Source organism: Homo sapiens, chromosome 16, assembly GCF_000001405.40.
Source record: "Homo sapiens chromosome 16, GRCh38.p14 Primary Assembly".
Taxonomy (NCBI): Eukaryota; Metazoa; Chordata; class Mammalia; order Primates; family Hominidae; genus Homo; species Homo sapiens.
The window spans coordinates 47,743,854-47,763,821 of NC_000016.10; the positions used below are offsets into that span (position 1 = coordinate 47,743,854).

The window sequence follows — 19,968 nt, forward strand, 5'->3', positions numbered from 1 at the left end:
TACTATTGGCATGAGCTATCATGCAGATGCTAACCCTGATCACATGGATGAAGTAGCGCCTGTCATGTTTCTCCACTGTAAGGTTGCTCTCCATCCTTCCCCTGTCTGTTCTATACTTTGTGGAAGGAAGTCACTAGGCACAGCCCACACTGAAGAGGTGGGTAGTTAGTTTCCATATATACTCAAGGCTAGAGTTGCTATGTAGATTATTTGGAATTCTCCAGGGAGATTTATCTATTTTCCCCCAATCATTTATTTATTCAATCATTTATTTATATCAGAATGAATTCATGGTTATTTAGTTTACACATTAGGCTATCACTCTATACTACTTTATTTATTTTGTTGCTCAAAATGTTCCAGCTTTGACAATTTAGTGCTCTTCCAGTTGGTTCCAGTGTACCTTTGAGCAAAATTAAGAAAAAAATCATTTGAAAAGGAATTTGGCCACACTCAAACTTGATATGATAATTGTATATAGAACTTTGCATCATTTGAATACAAAAGAAGTTTTTTTCTATGTCTGAATACATGTTTAAAAAATGGTCTTGACCATGAAGAAAACCTTAAAATTTTCTGACCATTCTCTGATTATAATGTTGTAGAAAAAACTGGGTTCTTGTCACACAACCAGGAAAGATTAGGCTCATGGACACACAGAAGGGTGAGGAGTGGAATTTATTGGGTGAAAAAGAACAAGGAAAAACAACTTAGCAAACTGAGATGGAGTCCTCCTAACAGGCTCTCCACCTCAGCAAATGAATCTCAGGTCACCACCCAGGAACAGGAGAAGCCAGGATCCTCCCTCCTGCAAAGCACAAACTTCCCGAGGCTCCACCCCAACCTCTTAGTGCTCAGGCGGGTGGGAGATTCTCCAGGGACCCCTTTTTACTTGGCAGTTCCAATAATGCAATAAAATTAGCAGTAAATAATAAAACAATAATAAGGAAAAATTTTATCTGGAAAGTAAAAGCATATTTTTAGAAAACCCTTGAATTAGAGAAGAATTTTTTAAAAAATCACAGACAAAATAATAGAACCCATCAAAAGCTGAACTCCAAAATCTAGAGCTTTAAATGCCTTCATTTTTAAAAAAAGAAAGACAAAAATATGAAAGGAGCAAAATATTCATTACATAAAGTTAGAAGAAGGAATGGAATAAACTAAGTAAGAAGAGGGAATTAATAGAGATAAAAGTTGAAATAATGAAACAGAAGAAGGAAAAGATAAATCCAAAAAATAGTTTCTTTGAAAAAAACCAATAAAGCAGAAACATTTGCAAGCTTAATTAAGGCAAGAAAAAGAGGACAAAAATAGGCAAGATTTGGAAGGCACAAGGGACTATAACCATTTTAAAAATTACAAAATAATACTGTGTGCAACTCTATGTTATCCAGATTTAACACCCAAAGGAAATAGCTCCTAGCAAAATAAAAATCACTAAATTTTACTCAGAAATTAGAAAACTTGAATAAACTAATGGCCATAGGAAAGCCTCAAAGTTGATTCAAGTTCTATGATTGGTACCATTCTCAAGATGAATTTATTCTTTAAAGAATAGATCATTCCCATGTTATTTAGGTATTTCAGGCCATGGAAAATGCAAACCTCATGCATTCACCTTATGAAACCAGCATAATTTGAACACCAATTCCTGATAATTCTTGTATAAAATTTATTTAAACCAATGTTCCTTATGAATATAGAAGCATTGCTAAACTCTATTTGCCAATACTTTCAGAATTTATGTATAAAAATAATAACTAAATATGATTTATTCAAGGAATGCAAGGTCAATATTGTAATCTATCAGTGTAATCCATTATAATAATGCAGTAAGGGAGAAAGTCATATTATATTAACAGATACAGAAATATTTAATAAAATTCAGTAGCTATGCAATAAAAAGAAACTACTTGAATTATGAAAATAAATCATAATCTAAAAATTCCAACAGCAAAAATGAACAGCAAATAAACTCATTTTGATTAATCTGACAATTGATAAGGGATGCATAGTGTGGTCAGTATTTAGTACTAAGTCTGTAAAAATGCAACAATGCAAAGCATGAAATAAGTGGTATAAATATTGGAAAAACAAAGAGTTATAGCTATGTTTTGCTAATGGTTATCTATAAACTCAGAAAATTCAAAGGTTGGGTTATGAGGATTTTTTAATTGTTTTTAAAAAAGCTATGAAATTTTAGAAAGATAGCTGGATATGAATAATATAAAAAATGAAATACATTGCCTTAAAAATCAGTACATAAAAATGTGAAAGCATTATTTATAAAAGACAGGTTCTATAGTGTTTAGAATAAAATTTACATTATTTTAAAGGCACAGGACCATTTGAAGATAATTAGAAAATCATATTGACAATAGGAAGGTCTCCCCAAGAAACTTGTTCTTGAAGGGGATGATTTATTTTAAGTATTAGTTTTTTCTAAGTAAATATGTAAACCTTATGTAATTCCAATTACTACTAGAAATATTTTAAAAATCTGGATGAATAATCCTAGAATATGTATTTAAAAAGTACCTAGGAATAAGCCAGAAAGCTATGAAGAATAACCATGATGGAAAATTCACCTTTTAAGATTATACCAGGAAGTCACTGTTTTAAAATCAATGTTATAGCTGTGTTGGAATAAACAGATCAGGAAAATAGAAGAATTCAAAATAAGAACCAGTACTTGAGAATTTAACATATGACAAAACTGGTTAACTCCATGGGGAAAAAAGAAGTTATGTAATAAATGTGTTAGAACATTTTGCCATCCAGCTTACTGACTCTCATCTAATACTCTTTCCAAAAATACATTTCTCCCTGGTCCAGGTTCCAGTTATGATGGACCAAGGCCATACTGAGTAACCCACCCAACCTCCCTCTTATGAGGAAGCAGATATTAAACCTGGACATAATACAAAAGTAATTGCCTTAAAGTGTGGGAGAGGAAGAGAAGCAGACAGACAGACACCAATGTGAAGTGTCCACCTACTTGGACAGGGGAGATGAGAAGTTGCCCAGGAAAGGTCCCATCTCTGTGGCTCCATATAGTGCACACAGCAGCTGTTGGGGTGCATGTGGACAAACAAGCATCCCTTCTTTCTGGCCTGGGGAACCAGAAAATTGAAGCTGGACTACTATGAACACTGAAGAGAATTGCGGTGGTGGGGGCCATTCTGTGTACCCAGTCTGACCGACTCTCAAACCACACCTATGCAGAAGACTCAAAGCAGCTCAGTTAAAGATGAAAGATCTGAACTGAGATTACAGCCACTGACACTGTTCAAGAAGCAGAGTCTGAAGGGTAAGCCCAGGCAACAAAATTATCTGCCAAAACAAAGGAAAAAACACTTATAAGAGAACAAATAATAGAATCAAAAATTTTCACTTAACATTCATAATATCTAGGATATAATCCAATATTAACATACATAGAACTAAGAAAATAGAACATATTCTCAAGAGACTGTGACTCTTCTAAGTATTCTCAGTGAAGTAAAACAAAACATATTGTCAATGAAAATCTCAGCATAGAAAAAGAACTCTCAGCAGATAAACAGAAATAAAAATTCTAGAATTTTAAAATTCTAGAAAAATACAATCTCTGAAATAAAAATAAATTCACTGAATGAAATGAAAATCCAAATGGCTATGACAGAGGAAGGATAAATGGATTTGAAGACAGAATGAGAAATAAAATGACAACAAAGATGAACAAAAGAAGATGGGAAAAAATAGTTCAATTTGAGTGTTTTCTTACCTTCCATGTCTCTACTTATCACGTTCAAGTTTCTCAAACATATGGAACGCAGTTATAATGACTGTTTTAATGGCCTTGTCTACTAACTCCATCATCAGTGTCATTACTGGGTCTGTTTGATTGGCTTTTCTCTGTATTATGGTTGCATTTGTCCTACTTCTTTGCATGCCTCGTTATTCTTGAATGTGTGCCAAGCTTCGTGAAATTTCTCTTGTTGAGGGCTGTACATTATTGTATTCCTATAAATATACTTGAGTTCATTCTAGGATGCAGTTAAGTGACTTGAAAACAATTTTATCCTATTGGGTCTTCCTTTAAGCTTTGTAAGGAGAGAGCAGAGCAACATTTAGTCTAGGGTAAAATTTTCTCCACTGTGAGGCAAGACTCTTGAATAGTCTACCAATCCCTGTAATTATGAAGATTTTCCACTCCAGATGGTATGAACAGGCACTATTCCCACCCCGTGTAGGGATTTTTCCCTCTAATCCTTTTGATAGTTTTCTCACATGCACACGCTGAAGAGTATTGAAACTTTTGTAGATCTCTGGAGTTCTATTTCTTTGCAGATCTCTTCTCTTCAGTATCTTGCCTTGTGAATTCTAGCAGCCTCAGCCCCAGGGTCCCCCATGCCCCATCCTAGTTCAGCTTAGGGAGACTCTTGTGCTCCTCCTGGGTTGCCTGTCCGTGTGCTGTGTCTGGAAATGCTCTCCAGGCCATAGCTAGGAGAGCACCTCAAAGGTAGGGCTCGTCTAATTTGTATCCCATCTCTCAGGGATCCCTATTCATCTTTACCTGATGTCCAGTGTCTTGAGACACTTTCTTTAATATACTTTGTCAGATTCGTTAGATGCTTCAAGCAGGAAGGCAAATCCCTTCCTTGTTATTCCATCCGCTCTGGGCTCCCTCAGTACCACATCCTCCCAGTTCTGGACTCTGCATCTGGGATGCTCCTGGCTCTGAGAAGCGTAAAAACCAATAGGCTTTTGGAAGAAATTGACAAGTAGATTTAAAAATTTACATAAAAAGAACTTAGATAGCTAATATAATCTGAAAAAGAAGAATTAATTTAGAAGACCTAAACTATCTGATTTTATGACTTACTATAAATCTATAGCAATCAAGATTGGCATAAAGATATTCATAGGCCAGGCACCGTGGCTCATGCCTGTAATCCCAGCACTTTGGGAGGCCGAAGCGGGTGGATCACCTGAGGTCAGGAGTTTGAGACTGGCCTGGCCAACATGGTGAAACCCTGTCTCTACTAAAAATACAAAAATTAGCCAGGTGTGGTGGTGCACGCCTGTAATCCCAGCTACTCAGGAGGCTGAGGCACAAGAATCGCTTGAACCCAGAAGACAGAAGTTGCAGTGAGCTGAGATTATGCCACTGCACTCCAGCCTGGGTGATAGAGTAAGACTTTGTCCCCACCCCCCAAGAAAAAGGAGGGAGAAGAAGGCTTTGTAAAACAAGGACCAAATTTGTGAACAGACATTTTACAAATGAAGATATGTGCATGGCCGATAAGCATATGAAAAGATTCAACATCACTAGTCATCAGAGCTTATTAAAAACTACCATGACTTGCCTACTAGAATGGCTCAACTGAAAAATACTGACAATACCAAGTGTTGATGAGGATGTAGAACAATTGTAAGTCTCACTCATTGCTGGTTAAAATGCAAAATAGTGCAGTCACTTTGGAAAACAAGATATGGTAGTATCTTGAACTTCATGACACACCCTTACCGTATGACCCAGAAGTTCCATTCCTAGGTAGTTGCCCAAGAGAAATAAATACATGTTCACAGAGACATGTACATAAATATTTATAGCTGATAATTTATAGTAGACAAAAACTGGTGAATAAACAAATTGTGATTTCTCTATACTATGTTTAGTTGGTATGTAATAAGAAGTAACAAAAGATTAATGTACTCAAAATCATGGATGAATTTCAAAAACATCATTATGCTAAGTGAAAAAAATCAAACATAAGTCTATACTGAGTGATTCCATTTATACAAAATTCTAGAAAAAGACAAAGCTGTCATAATGGAAAGCAGGCCAGTGATTTCCTGGAAGGGGGTGGAGGTGCAGGGGGCAGAGGAAAACATGGTGGGGGAACTGTTTTAACTCTTGACTGTGATTACTCGATCTCATACAGTTACCACAGTCATCAAACTGTACACTTAAAATAGGTGCATTTTATTTTATATAAATAATATCTTAATTTTAAAATAGGTTTCTTAGGATTGAAATGCTCAAGTGTAAAAAACAAAACTGACCAAACAAACAAAAACTCTTTTAAGAAAATCTTGTAAATCTTGTAACATAGGCATTGTGAGTTTCTTAAAAAGGGGAAGAAACTTAGATGCTATAAGAGAAATGATAATGGCTGGTGTGATGGCATGTGCCTGTGATCCCAGTTACTTGGGAGGACTGTTTGAGCCCAAAAGTTTGAGGCTGCAGTGAGCTATGATTGTGCCACCGCACTCCAGCCTGGGCAACAGAGCGAGGTTCCTATCTCTTAAAAAAAAAAAAAAAGAAAAAAGAAAAAGAAAAAAAGTAGATAATGACCTTTGTGTGGCTAAGGAAACAATTAAAATCAATAGACACATAGATCAAGAAAAAATAGTGTAATGCAAATGTCAGATAGGAGTAAGTTGTCTATATTATTCAAACTGCTTCTCCAAACTGACAAGAAAAGCAGAATATTGTTAAAAAAACAGGCTAACAAAAAGTCACAGAAGAGCAAGTTTAAATGGCCACGGATGTAGAAAAAGATGCTTAAATTCACTGGTAGCCAAGAGAATGGAAATTTAAAGAGCAGTGAGATTTCAGTTTAAATTCATTGGAAAGAGCTACAAAACTTAATGCTCTTAGGGATATAAGATTATAATACTCTCATATTCCTAGTGGAAATGTGCAGTGTCATAGCCTTTGGCTAAAGTAATTTTGTGGCATGTATGAAAAACAAAAACACATGTATCCTTTAACCTTACCAGGCCTCTCCTGAGAGTGCCAATAGAAATAAAAGCAGATGGCCGGGCATGGTGGCTCATGCCTATAATCCCACCACTTTGGGAGGTTGAGGAGGGCAGATCACTTGAGCCTAGGCGTTCAAGACCAGCCTGGGCAACAGAGGGAGACTCCATCTCTACAAAAAATACAAAAACTAGCCAGGCATGGTGGCATGTGCCCAGAGTCCCAGCTACTTGGGAGGCTGAGATGGGAGGTGGAGGTTGCAGAGGGCCATGATCATGCCACTGCACTCCAGCTTGGCTGACAGTGCCAGACTCTGCCAAAAATACAAAACAAAACAAAACAAAACCAAAAACACAGTGACGTAAAAGTAGATGTATTAATGCACTAAAATGTTTATTGCAGCATTGTTTTTAATGCCACAAAGCTAGATCAAAGTGGATGTCCATAGTGGGGGAATACTGGTTGAATAAAGTCTACTGCATCATGCATACTGCATTCTGCTTGGCAATCAGTAAAATGAGTGAATTAGAGCTGTAAGACGGCTACCACTTACTGAGTAAGAAATACAGAGAGATACAGAGACAGGTGTAAAATAGTCTACTGTCTTTTCATAAAACGAAGACTAGGATCTCATTTTACATGCACACATTCCTATGAATATTTGTATAGTATTATGAGTATAAAGGAAAAATATAGAAAGATACATATCAGATTTTGAAACCCTTCTACTAAGATGACCTATGTCATGTGTGTTGATACATGTGTAGATAAGGGTAGGGTCAAGCAACTTATAAACCAACCAACCAACCAAGTCTGCATTTGAAAGGTGTATCTAGGATCATATGTGTATATATCAGTCAGGGTAGGTTAGATTATTCTTATTCTTAAACAATCCAATATCACAATGCATTAATGTAACAAGCATTTATTTCTTGCTTACGTGAAGTCTCAGCCTCTGGAAGACTCTCCAGGTAATTTTCTCAATGGTTTGACTTCACCTTCCAGGACATTTAGGTCTTATGGACTCTTTCTGTCCACACATGGTTTTAGGATGACTGCAGCCAGGGAAGAGAGAACATAAAGAATTATGTGCCAGCAATTAAAGATTTTCATCTGGAATTGATGCATATTAACTTGTTCTCCCCACCCCCCAACCCCCAAATCAAAGCATGTGGTCATAGATAAGCTCAAGGAGTCAGGGAAATCTGTTCCTCTTGTGCTCCTCTAGAGGGGAAGAAGGAATGGAAATACTGGTGGGTAGCAATAATATATACAATATATACTATATACTATCTATATGCTGCACATACATTTATAAAATTATTTATTTATATAAGAAACTAAGCTTTAAAATGATTTTAAAATGGTTTATACTTGACAAGTAAGCAACTTACCAAATATAAGAAGTGAACAATAAAAATGAAACTATGTATATGTCAGCAGATTGGCTAAAATTATAAAGATTGATAAAATCCAGTGATGATGAAAGTGTGGGAGAGAGAAACTCTTACATGCTCCTGGTGTGAGAATAAATTTGTACATTTCTGAAATATAATCAGGCTGAAGATATCAAAATGTAATATTTGAATTCCCATATGGCCCAGTAATATGACTTAGAAGAATTTATTTTTGAAAACAATCAGATAGATACAGATAAATGTAAACAAATATTTGCTACAGCATAATAAAAATGGAAAATAGTCTAAAAGTACATCTATTGAAGCTGAGTTAACATAGGGTAAATGCCTATGATAGAATACTATGAGAGCTACTAAAATAGGTGAGATGGATTTAATTTGTTTTAAAATAAAAAATGCTCCAACCATGTGTTTTGGTTATTTAAATGTTAATGGTACAAACAATGCCAGAACTTAAGGGCTTAAAGTAACTCTTTTTTTCTGCTTCTGGTTTAATAGATCAGCACTCAAGAAGGGCTTGGTTGGGTGGTTTGTGTTATAGTCAGCCAGGTCGGCTGGGAGAGAAGGATCTACTTCCAAGATGGCTTCTTCACTTACAAGTCTTACATGTTGTGTGTGTTGATATGTATGTAGGTAAGAGTAGAGTCAAGCAACAAACCAACCAAACAACAAACAAATCTGCGTTTGAAAAGCATGTCTAGTGCCTTGGTGCGCTTTGATTTCTTTACTTCTCAACAAGGTATCTCATCTTCCAGTTCTTAGCATGGTGGTCTCAGGGTAGTCCTACTTCTTAACATGTCTACCTTCCGAAAAGCAGGAAGTGGAAGTTGCCAGGCCAGTTAAAGGCTATACACAGAATTAGTATAACGTTGTATCAGCTCTATTCTATTGATTGAAGCAATCCAAAGTCCTGCTGAGATTCAGGGAGGTGGCGAAATAACATTTCTTGATGGGAGAGTGGCAAGGAACTTGCAGAAAAGCATGCAGGATGAGGGATATTGTTGTGACCATCTTTGGAAAATTGTCTGCCACAGAATCATATGATTCAATTTGTGTAAATAGTCATGATTTTAATATTTCAACATTTAGAAAAATATAGAGATAAAACAATGTTTCTGTGGGTTATAGCAATTTTGGATAGAATTTTGGGTAGCTACTTTCTACTTCAAATTCTTCAGTGTTTGATTTTCTTTTTCACAGTAAATATGAATTACTTTTGTAATCAGCAAAATTTTTTAAAATCTCAATTTTGACATTAAATAGAAATAGGTTGTTTAAAATCGCCTTCTTACAGAATGTGCAGTGCCTGAAGCATGCATTTAAATGGATGACATGTTTTTTTCCTGTGGAAAATTTGAAGAGGGACCTTTACATTTAAGTTTTCATATTTGCAGATGGAATAGGAGTGATAGCTTCTTAGAAAAATGGAATTTGAATAATGGATTTAAATAATAGAGGCCATTATTCAGGATGAGCTTAATGCAGTCCCCATACAGATGAAAGATTTAGGCAATGAGCAGATAAAAGCCTTACAGATGCCTAATGCAAATTATGTCATATTAAAAACTAAAACAAAACATTTAAAATAAAGCAGACCAAAGATTTCAAGAAGGAAGGACTTAGGGGTTAAACATCCTTTTTAGCCATCAGAAAAAAATGACCTCAGGCTTTAGTGGACATCTGTCTGATTCCTAGTCTCTATTTTCAGCAGTATCATTCCTGTGAGTTATCAGGATCACAATAGATGTGTACACTTGAAAATTTTTCGTTGCTTTCACCCATCTTCTCAAATGTACCCAGAAGTCATAATGCTGGAATTACATTGATACAATCATCCCCATGGAAACAGAGGCTGGTGTCATAAACATGGCATTATGACTTCTCAGCAGGAGGAGGCAGATGGAAGTTTGGCACTGAATGTGCAAGATTTATTCAAAAACACAAATGTCTTGGAGAATAACACCAAGCAAAATAAATAAATAAATAAATAAATAAATAAATAAAAGGGCATGGAGTTGCCCTGACTACATGCATTTCAAAAGATGTTTTCTGAGGATTTATTCGCCTTTGGCAGGACTTGCTTGTGCCTATAGTGTGCCTATACTTTCTTTTTCATTGTTATGTTTGGCATGGCATGTTCTCATCTTAGTCTTGGCTGTTCAGGCTGTCAGGGGCTGCATTTACCAATGGGGGAGTTGAGATCCAGAGAATGGAATGGACTTGCCCAACTCACCTAGCAAGTAAGCGGCCCTGGGGAAGCCAGAGCCCTTCTCCTGACATCTAATCCGCACATTTGAGTGTTCCTTTCAACATCTCCGTTTTATGCTGAGAACACATGTGTATCAATTAGGACATTGGTTCTAATGAGACCACCCCACTGCCACCCCAAAAAGTGTTTTAAATAAGATAGAAGTTTTTCTCGCTCATAGCAGTCCATGGTGTCAGGCTGTGTGTGTATATGTGTATATAATATATATATACATATTTTTTGCTGTATCTGCTGTGCCACCCTGATACACTAGTACAGCACATCACATACTGTATTTATTTTCCAGACAGAGTAAGGAGAGGGTGTTCTCCTGTCTTTTAAGAGCACAATTGGAAAGCTGCACAAATCACTTCTGCTTATATTCCATTGGCCAGGACTTAGTCGTATACCTTGTTTCAAGGAATGCTGAACAGCCATGTATTCCGCAAATGTGGGGGATCTATTATTGCAAGAGAAGGAAAAAACAGATTTGGCAACAACCAGTAATCTCTGCCACACTTGCATCCCCTATGACAGAGCATTGTTTTCAGAGGACTGTCAACTAATTTCCTTTCAGCTAATGCAATGGCTGAAGAGTGATTGTGGTATTCATTTACTCAAGGGTAATTACAATGATAATTACCATATTTGTTATAGAAATCACTGAATTGGCACAAAGATTGGACACCAGGTCTAAGATCAAGATAGAAGTTAATTGACCATTAGAGTATGTATTAGGATTGTGAGAGAAACCCTCCAAGTTAGTGGCTGTAAGAACAAATAAGTCTATTTCTTTTTCTCCTAATTATCTGAGCTGCATTGTCCAGTGTTGATGAAGGTTTGCTTACTATGGGAGATGGGAGCATGGATATTAGTGGGCAGCTAGTGGTTTTCTCTGCAGCGTAGCCAGCTAGAATGTCTGAGCTCCAACCATTTCTTTCATCCTATCACCTTTAACTAAAAGATGAGAGAGACAGAGAAAGAGAGAAACAAAAAGAAGAAAGAAAAAGAAGAGAGAGAGAAAGAAAGAAAGAGAAAGAAAGAAAGAGAGAGAAGGAAAGAAAGAGAGAGAGAAAGAAAGAAAGAAAGAAAAAGAAAGAAGAGATTTTCCAATCAGTTAGGCTTAGGCCATGTACTCACTCCTTAATAGCTTTTGGGGAAGTAGGAAAAGGATCATGAAACCTCTTTTTACATTTGGATTTACATTCCCACTAAGACTGTTCCCAGTGCAATATTGGCCAGGAGTTTCTCTCAAGGACCTTCTGGTTCCAGAAATATTCCTTCTTGTTCTTGTTATTGTAACAACACCCCTATTTCCTCTTGAACGTTAGAATCAATTACCTCAACCAACGCAATAACTTTTTGGTTGTTTTCCAGCAGCATGAAGAGGTCAAAATGATCAGCTGGAATTTTCTATTTTCAGCTTAATGGAAGTGTTGCTGCAACCCCCTGTTAGAAGTATTTTCCTCTTGAATTCTAAAACCTCTAAATTAACGAAGTCCGAAGTTACAGAGATGGGAAGGAAATTTTCTAAGTGCACACTTTGACAAATGGATCATAGTGCACTCTAGAATTTCCCAGGAACTAGTGCTTACTCACAGCCAGAGTCTAATTATTTCTGAATGGTTCTGGTATTTTCATTTTCTTAATCATCATTTACTCTGGTCTCTAGTCCTCTTGGCCATGGCAAGGAAGAAGATTCTCGGTATACATTTGTGTTATCTTACTATTCTTACTCAGTGTTTACCTGGTTTTCCCTTTGTTCCAGGGGCTCTGGGTCTATGAGTTGGCTCAGGCCTTGGAATTGAGTAAGGGACTGTGATTTTTTTAAAATAATGACTCAAATGAGTCCTATTTGCTAGACCCACAGCATGATCAATCACACAGAGCAGGTAGGACCATAGAGTTACTCATTGTTTTGATCTTAGAGACCCCAATGATTAAATAACTTCCATCAAATGTTATTTCACATATTTCTAATTACCACTTGTGCTCTGCTGCCAATTACAGAAACTGTGCCCAACTTGCTTCAGGTCTTTAAATGCTGCCACTTCTCTTCTGTGACTCCTGGATGGCATCATTCTAATTGAAAAAGGAAGGTCTCATTTTATGAGTGGCCTTTATCTTAATCCTCTGCCCACAAAGGATAACTTCTAAGTCTCTTTTCAAAAATAAATGTATTCTGAAATAACATCTTTTGAAGCAACAAAGATGGAACTGGAGGCCATTATCTTTTTCTTTTTTTTGAGATGGAGTCTCATTCTGTCACCCAGGCTGGAGTGTAGTGGTGCAATCTTGGCTCACTGCAACCTCCGCCTCCCAGGTTCAAGTGATTCTCCTGCCTCAGCCTCCCAAGTAGCTGGGATTACAGGTGCCCACCACCACACCCGGCTAATTTTTGTACTTTTAGTAGAGACGGGGTTTTGCCATGTTGGTCAGGATGGTCTCGAACTCCCAACCTCAGGTGATTTGCCTGCCTTGGCCTGGAGACTATTATCTTAAGTGAAACAACTCGGACACACAAATACCGCGTGTTCTCACTCCTAAGTGGGGGCTAAGTAACATGTACACATGGAAGTTGAGTGTGGAATGATGAGCAGTGGGGACTTGGAGGGATGGGAGTGAGTGGGAGGCAGGCAATGATGGAGTTGCTTGGTGGGCACAATGTGCATTGCTCCAGTGATGGATGCCCTGAAGGCGCTGACCTCACCACAATGCAATATATGAATGTAACAAAATGGCACTAGTACCCCATGAATATATACAAATTTAAAAAAGAAAATCAATGCAATTCACTATATTAAAAAATTAGAAGTGAAAAAAATCTCAATAGATACAGAAAAAAATTCTTAGAAATGAAAAGCTCATTAAATATTTGAAAATCAAACTGTAATTCACCTTATTAACATCTTATTAACAGAAAAAAGAAAACATATGACATGATCATTTCAGCAAATGTATAAAAAGCATTTGACAAAATCTGATATCTAGTTATAATAAAAATAATAACCTCTCAGCAAACTTGCAAAGGACAACTACAAAAAAAACCCCACATACAACTAATAACATATTTAATGGTGAAAAACTGAATACTTTCTCCATGCAATACAGAACAAAGCAAGAATGTCTATCCTCACCACTTCAGTTGAACATTTTGTTGGAGGTCTAAGCCAGCACAAGAAGAAAGAAAAAGAAATAAAAGATTGAAAAGGAATAAGTAAACTGTCTTTATTGGCATATGATATAATAATCTATGCAGATAATCCTAAAAATCTACAAAAACCTATTAGAACAAATAAATGAGTTTAGCAAAGTTGCAGAGTACAAGATCAATATGGAAAAAATAAACTTTGTTTTTATATGCTTACAATAAACTATCACAATTTAAATTTAAAAACAAATACTGGCTGGGCGTGGTGGTTCACGCAGCTAATCCTAGCATTTTGGGAGGCTGAGGCGGGCAGATCACTTAAGTTCAGGAGTTCGAGGCCAGCCTGGTCAACAGGGATTTCCTTGAGGCAGGAGAATCGCTTGAACCCGGGAGGTGGAGGTTGCAGTGAACCAAGATCGTGCCACTGCACTCCAGCCTGGGTGACAGAGCAAGACTCCATCTCAAAAAAAAAAAAAAAAAAAAAAAAAAAAAAGATACCACTTACCATAACCTCAAAATATATGAAAACACTTAGGGACAAAATTGACAAAGGATATGAAGACCTGTGCTCTGAAAACTACAAAACATTGCCAACAGAAAGAAATGGGGTCCACACCCATGCACTGGAAGACTCAGTATTATTAGGACATTATTTCTTCCCAAATTGGTGTATATAGTCAATGCAATCAAAATCTACAGGCATTTTTTGTTGAAATTGACAAACTGATTTTAAATTTATGTTAAAATACAAAGGACCTAAAATAACCAAAATTATTTTGAAGAGAAAGAACAAAGTGAGAAGACTTTCCTACCTATTTCCAGACTTATTATAAAGCTGCAAGAATCAAATAATGTGACACTTGTCTAAAGACAGATGTATAGAATAGTGGAACAGAATAGAGTCCAGAAATAGATCCACAGACATATGGCCATTTAATATTTGACAAATTGTGCTTGAAGAATGGAATATCTTCATGGGTGGGGGAGACCCTTGACCCTCACTTCATGGCATATACAAATACACAGCAATGGTTTATAATACAAGAAAGATGATAGATCTACATGTAAAACCTACAATGTTAAAACCTTGAAAACCTTGACACAAATTTTAGTTACCTTGGATTTGGGGAGATTTCTTAAATATGACACAAAAAGCACACCAAATTATAAATTGTACTTCATCACAATTGAACCCATTCATTTACTTTTCAAATGACACTCTTTAGGTCTAACATTTAAGTCTTTAATCCATCTTGAATTAATTTTTGTACAAGGTATAAGGAAGGGATCCAGTTTCAGCTTTCTACATATGGCTAGCCAGTTTTCCCAGCACCACTTATTAAATAGGGAATCCTTTCCCCATTTCTTGTTTTTGGTCAGGTTTGTGAAAGATCAGATGGTTGTAGATGTGTGGTATTATTTCTGAGGGCTCTGTTCTGTTCCATTGGTTTATATCTCTGTTTTGGTACCAGTACCATGCTGTTTTGGTTACTGTAGCCTTGTAGTATAGTTTGAAGTCAGGTAGTGTGATGCCTCCAGCTTTGTTCTTTTGGCTTAGGATTATCTTGGCAATGTGGGCTCTTTTTTGGTTCCATATGAACTTTAAAGTAGTTTTTTCCAATTCTGTGAAGAAAGTCATTGGTAGCTTTCTGGGGATGGCATTGAATCTATAAATTACCTTGGGCAGTATGGTCATTTTCACAATAGTGATTCTTCCTATCCATGAGCATGGAATGTTCTTCCATTTGTTTGTATCCTCTTTTATTTCCTTGAGCAGTGGTTTGTAGTTCTCCTTGAAGAGGTCCTTCACATCCCTTGTAAATTGGATTCCTAGGTATTTTATTCTCTTTGAAGCAATTGTGAATGGGAGTTCACTCATGATTTGGCTCTCTGTTTGTCTGTTATTGGTGTATAAGAATGCTTGTGATTTTTGCAGATTGATTTTGTATCCTGAGACTTTGCTGAAGTTGCTTATCAGCTTAAGGGTACTTTGGGCTGAGACAATGGGGTTTTCTAAATATACAATCATGTCATCTGCAAAAAGGGACAATTTGACTTCCTGTTTTCACTAATTGAATACCCTTTATTTCTTTCTCCTGCCTGATTGCCCTGGCCAGAACTTCCTAAAACCATAAAAACCCTAGAAGAAAACCTAGGCAATACCATTCAGGACATAGTCATGGGCAAGGACTTCATGTCTAAAACACCAAAAGCAATGGCAACAAAAGCCAAAATTGACAAGTGGGATCTAATTAAACTAAAGAGCTTCTGCACAGCAAAATAAACTACCACCAGAGTGAACAGGCAACCTACAGAATGGGAGAAAATTTTTGCAATCTACTTATCTGACAAAGGGCTAATATCCAGAATCTACAATGAACTCAAACAAATTTACAAGAAAAAAACAAACAACCCCATCAAAAAGTGGGCAAAGGATATGAACAGACACTTCTCAAAAGAAGACATTTATGCAGCCAACAGACACATGAAAAAATACTCATCATCACTGGCCATCAGAGAAATGCAAATCAAAACCACAATGAGATGCCATCTCACACCAGTTAGAATGGCGATCATTAAAAAGTCAGGAAACAACAGGTGCTGGAGAGGATGTGGAGAAATAGGAACACTTTTACACTGTTGGTGGGACTGTAAACTAGTTCAACCATTGTGGAAGACAGTGTGGTGATTCCTCAAGGATCTAGAACTAGAAATACCATTTGACCCAGCCATCCCATTCCTGGGTATATACCCAAAGGATTATAAATCATGCTGCTATAAAGGCACATGCACAGGTATGTTTACTGCGGCACTATTCACAATAGCAAAGACTTGGAACCAACCCAAAAGTCCATCAGTAATTGACTGGATTAAGAAAATGTGGCACATATACACCATGGAATACTATGCAGCCACAAAAAAGGATGAGTTCATTTTCTTTGTAGGGACATGGATGAAGCTGGAAACCATCATTCTCAGCAAACTATCGCAAGAACAAAAAACCAAACACTGCATGTTCTCACTCATAGGCGGTAATTGAACAATGAGAACACTTGGACACAGGAAGGGGAACATCGCACACTGGCATCTGTTGAGGGGTGGGGGGAGGGGGAGGGAAAGCATTAGGAGATATGCCCAATGTAAATGACGAGTTAATGGGTGCAGGACACCAACATGTATACATGTATACATATGTAACAAACCTGTACGTTGTGCATATGTACCCTAGAACATAAAGTATAATAATGAAAAAAATAAAAACTGAAAAAAAAAACTCACCATCATTCTTATCACCACTGTTATTGTTAATAACAGCATTCCCAAATCATTCTGTCATCTTTACATTTTGTTACCTGGAAATTTGTTTGTCCTTTCCAAAGGCAAAATATATACAAGTTTTTCTTGACTTTGTGCTGTCAATTTGGCATCAGAGATGTGCTGCTTAACCAGTGATGTTATACTCTCTGGATCACACCTTTCATTCAGATGCAAACTAACATTTAAAAAGAATAAAAGTTATTTTTATCAAAAAAATACATTCTCAAAAAAAGACCACAGACTGAAAGAAAAAAACTGTAAAAAATATATTAAAAAAGGACTTGTAGTCATAAAAGTCATAAAACAGCTAGTTAAATATAACTAGATGTTAGATTCGGTCAAAAGCTTTTTATACATACAACTCAATAAGGCAAATGCAAAAATGGTTCTTCCATATCTGGGAAGATGGAGTAAGTGTACTTTTCTGTATTCCTCTTTCTTTCTTTCTTTCTTTTTTTTTTTTTTTGAGACAGAGTTTCACTCTTTCTGCCCAGGCTGGAGTACAATGGCATGATCTTGTCTCACTGCAACCTCTGCCTCCCAGGTTCAAGCGATTCTCCTGCCTCAGCCTCCTGAGTAGCTGGGGTTACAGGCATGTGCCACCATGGCTGGCTAATTTTGTAATTTTTTTTTAGTAGAGATGGGATTTCTCCGTGTTGGTCAGGCTGGTCTCCAACTCCTGATCTCAGGTGATCCACCTGCCTCAGCCTCCCAAAGTGCTGGGATTACAGGCATGAGCCACTGCTCCTGGCCCTCTATTCCTCTTTCTAAGTACAATTAAAATCCCTGGACATTAATATAAAATAAGTACAAGAAGACAAAGAAACATGAAGAGAATCAGGGAGGCCTGCTAAGGAACTCTGGGCCTGATGAACATTATGATGATGAGCACTCTGGGCATTCTTTTGGCCAGATACATCCTAGACTTGGAGCTGAAGAAGCTGGCAACCTATAAATAATAACAAGTGCAAACAAACAAACAAACCAACAAAAGCCTCAATAAAGGTCTAAGAAAGGGGTAGCCTATGAAGATAGAAAATATGTAGACAACCAAGCAAAGAATTTATAACTCAGTCCTCAAAAGCAAATGCAACAAAAACAAATATTGACAGTTGGGACCTAATTAAACTAAAGAGCTTCTGTATAGCATGGTGCCATGCGCCTGTAGTCCCCAGCTACTTGGGAGGCTGAGGCAGGAGAATCGCTTGAACCTGGGAGGCGGAGGTTGCAGTGAGCTGAGATTGTGCCACTGCTCTCCAGCCTGGTGACAGAGCAAGACTCTGTCTCAAAAAAAAAAAAAAAAAAGAAAGAAAAAGAAAAGAAAAGAAAAGAAAAAACAGACAACTTACAAAATGGGAGAAAATATTTGCACACTATGCATCTGACAAGGGAAAAATCCAGAATCTATAAGGAATTTAAACAAATTGATAAGAAAAAACAAACAACCCCATTAAAAAGAGGGCAAAGGACATGAATAGACACTTCTCAAAAGAAGATGTACAAGTGACCAACAAACGTATAAAAAACTGCTCAATATCACAAATCATCAGAGAAATGCAAATCAAAACCACATTGAGATACCATCTCACACCAGTCAGAATGGCTATTATTAAAAAGTCAAAAAAGAACAGATGTTGGCAAAGTTGTGGAGAAAAGGGAACACTCAGACATTTTTGGTAGGACTGTAAATTAGTTCAGCTCCTGTGGAAAGCAATTTGGAGATTTCTCAAAGAACTAAAAATAGAATTACTATTAGACTCAGCAATCTCATTACTGGGTGTATATCCTAAAGAAAATACATTGTTCTATCAAAAAGACACCTGAACTTGTATGTTCATCGCAGCACTATTCACAATAGTAAAGACATAGAATCAACTTAGATGCCCCAAAACAAGTGGTATTTGGTTTTTTGTTTATGTGTTAATTCACTTAAGATAACGGCCTCCAGCTGCATCCATGTTGCTGCAAAGGGCATGATTTCATTCCTTTTTATGGCTGCATAGTATTCCATGGTTTGCGTGTACCACATTTTCTTTATCCAAGATTGGATAAAGAAACAAAAAACAAAACACAGAAACAAAAAACCAGGTATCACGTGTTTTCACTTATAAGTAGGAGGTAAACATTGGGTATACACAGACACAAAGATGGGAACAATAGACACTGGGGACTCCAAAAGAGGGAGGAAATAGGGCAAGGGGTGAAAAACTACCTATTTGGTACTGTGGCCACTATATGCGTAATGGGTTCGATTGAAGCCCAAACCTTAGCATTATGCAGAGTATCTATGTAACAAACCCACCCTTGAATATGAAAAGAAAAACAAATTTAAAACATTTAATTGGTTTATTAAATTATCAGAACAAACAAGTCTTTCGAAAGAAAAAAAATATTCAGGCAATGATCTCTTCACTTCAGCCAAACACCATGAAAAACATCTGTGGTCTCTGTCCTTCCCTGCACTACCCCTGCCCTGCCCCGCCATGCCATCATGGGGCAAATGGAATCTTAGACTTTCACCCTTGTGTGGCTGTAGAAAGAAACCCAATACCACCCCAAAAAGGTGGTGTCAGAGGAAGACAAGCAGGGAGCTGGGACAGTATGCTTTGTGTATCAGCAAAGATTATGTGGAGTACCTGAGCTTACATCACATTCAGCAGTTATGAGTTAGTCATCCTCTCCCCATTGGTTAGGTGTTAAATCAAAACCAGAGGAGTCAAGACCTTTACTATAGCTTAGTGATAATGAGGCCACCCCCACTAGTGTCAGTGGAGACCATGTGGGGAGCTGAAAATCACAGTCCTGCTGAGCAATAACAAAGAGCCCTCAACACGCAGGTGTCAGTCAAGGCTGAGTGAGAAACCTGAACTTCTACTCCCATCCAGTAGTAATCCAGGATGGCAGCCCCCCTACTTCCCCTTCCAGAGTAGTGTCAGAAAAATACAGCTTAAAGAAATTTAAAATGATATCTTGAGTTTCATTACACAATATGAAAATGTCAAATTTTCAATTGAAAATTACTAATCAAAATAAAAAGAACCAGAAAGAGCTCAAACTGAATAAAAAAGATAATTAATAC

The 19,968-nt window shown here is 37.0% G+C and overlaps 1 long non-coding RNA gene across 4 annotated transcripts; it reads right to left on the minus strand.

Annotated features, from left to right (window-relative positions):
* Positions 1-316: 316 nt before the first annotated feature.
* On the minus strand, positions 317-9,949 carry LOC105371236 (uncharacterized). 4 transcript variants are annotated; one of them, XR_007065060.1, is made up of 6 exons: positions 9,834-9,949; positions 7,695-7,809; positions 4,562-4,725; positions 3,770-4,088; positions 3,002-3,336; positions 317-403 (listed from the first exon to the last, which is right to left on the minus strand). It is a non-coding gene; the product is annotated as an uncharacterized LOC105371236 (long non-coding RNA). The 4 variants fall into 4 exon arrangements; XR_007065058.1 differs by having other exon boundaries at positions 4,562-4,749; XR_007065059.1 differs by lacking the exon at positions 9,834-9,949 and adding an exon at positions 8,976-9,059 and having other exon boundaries at positions 4,562-4,749.
* Between the last annotated feature and the right edge of the window lie 10,019 nt (positions 9,950-19,968).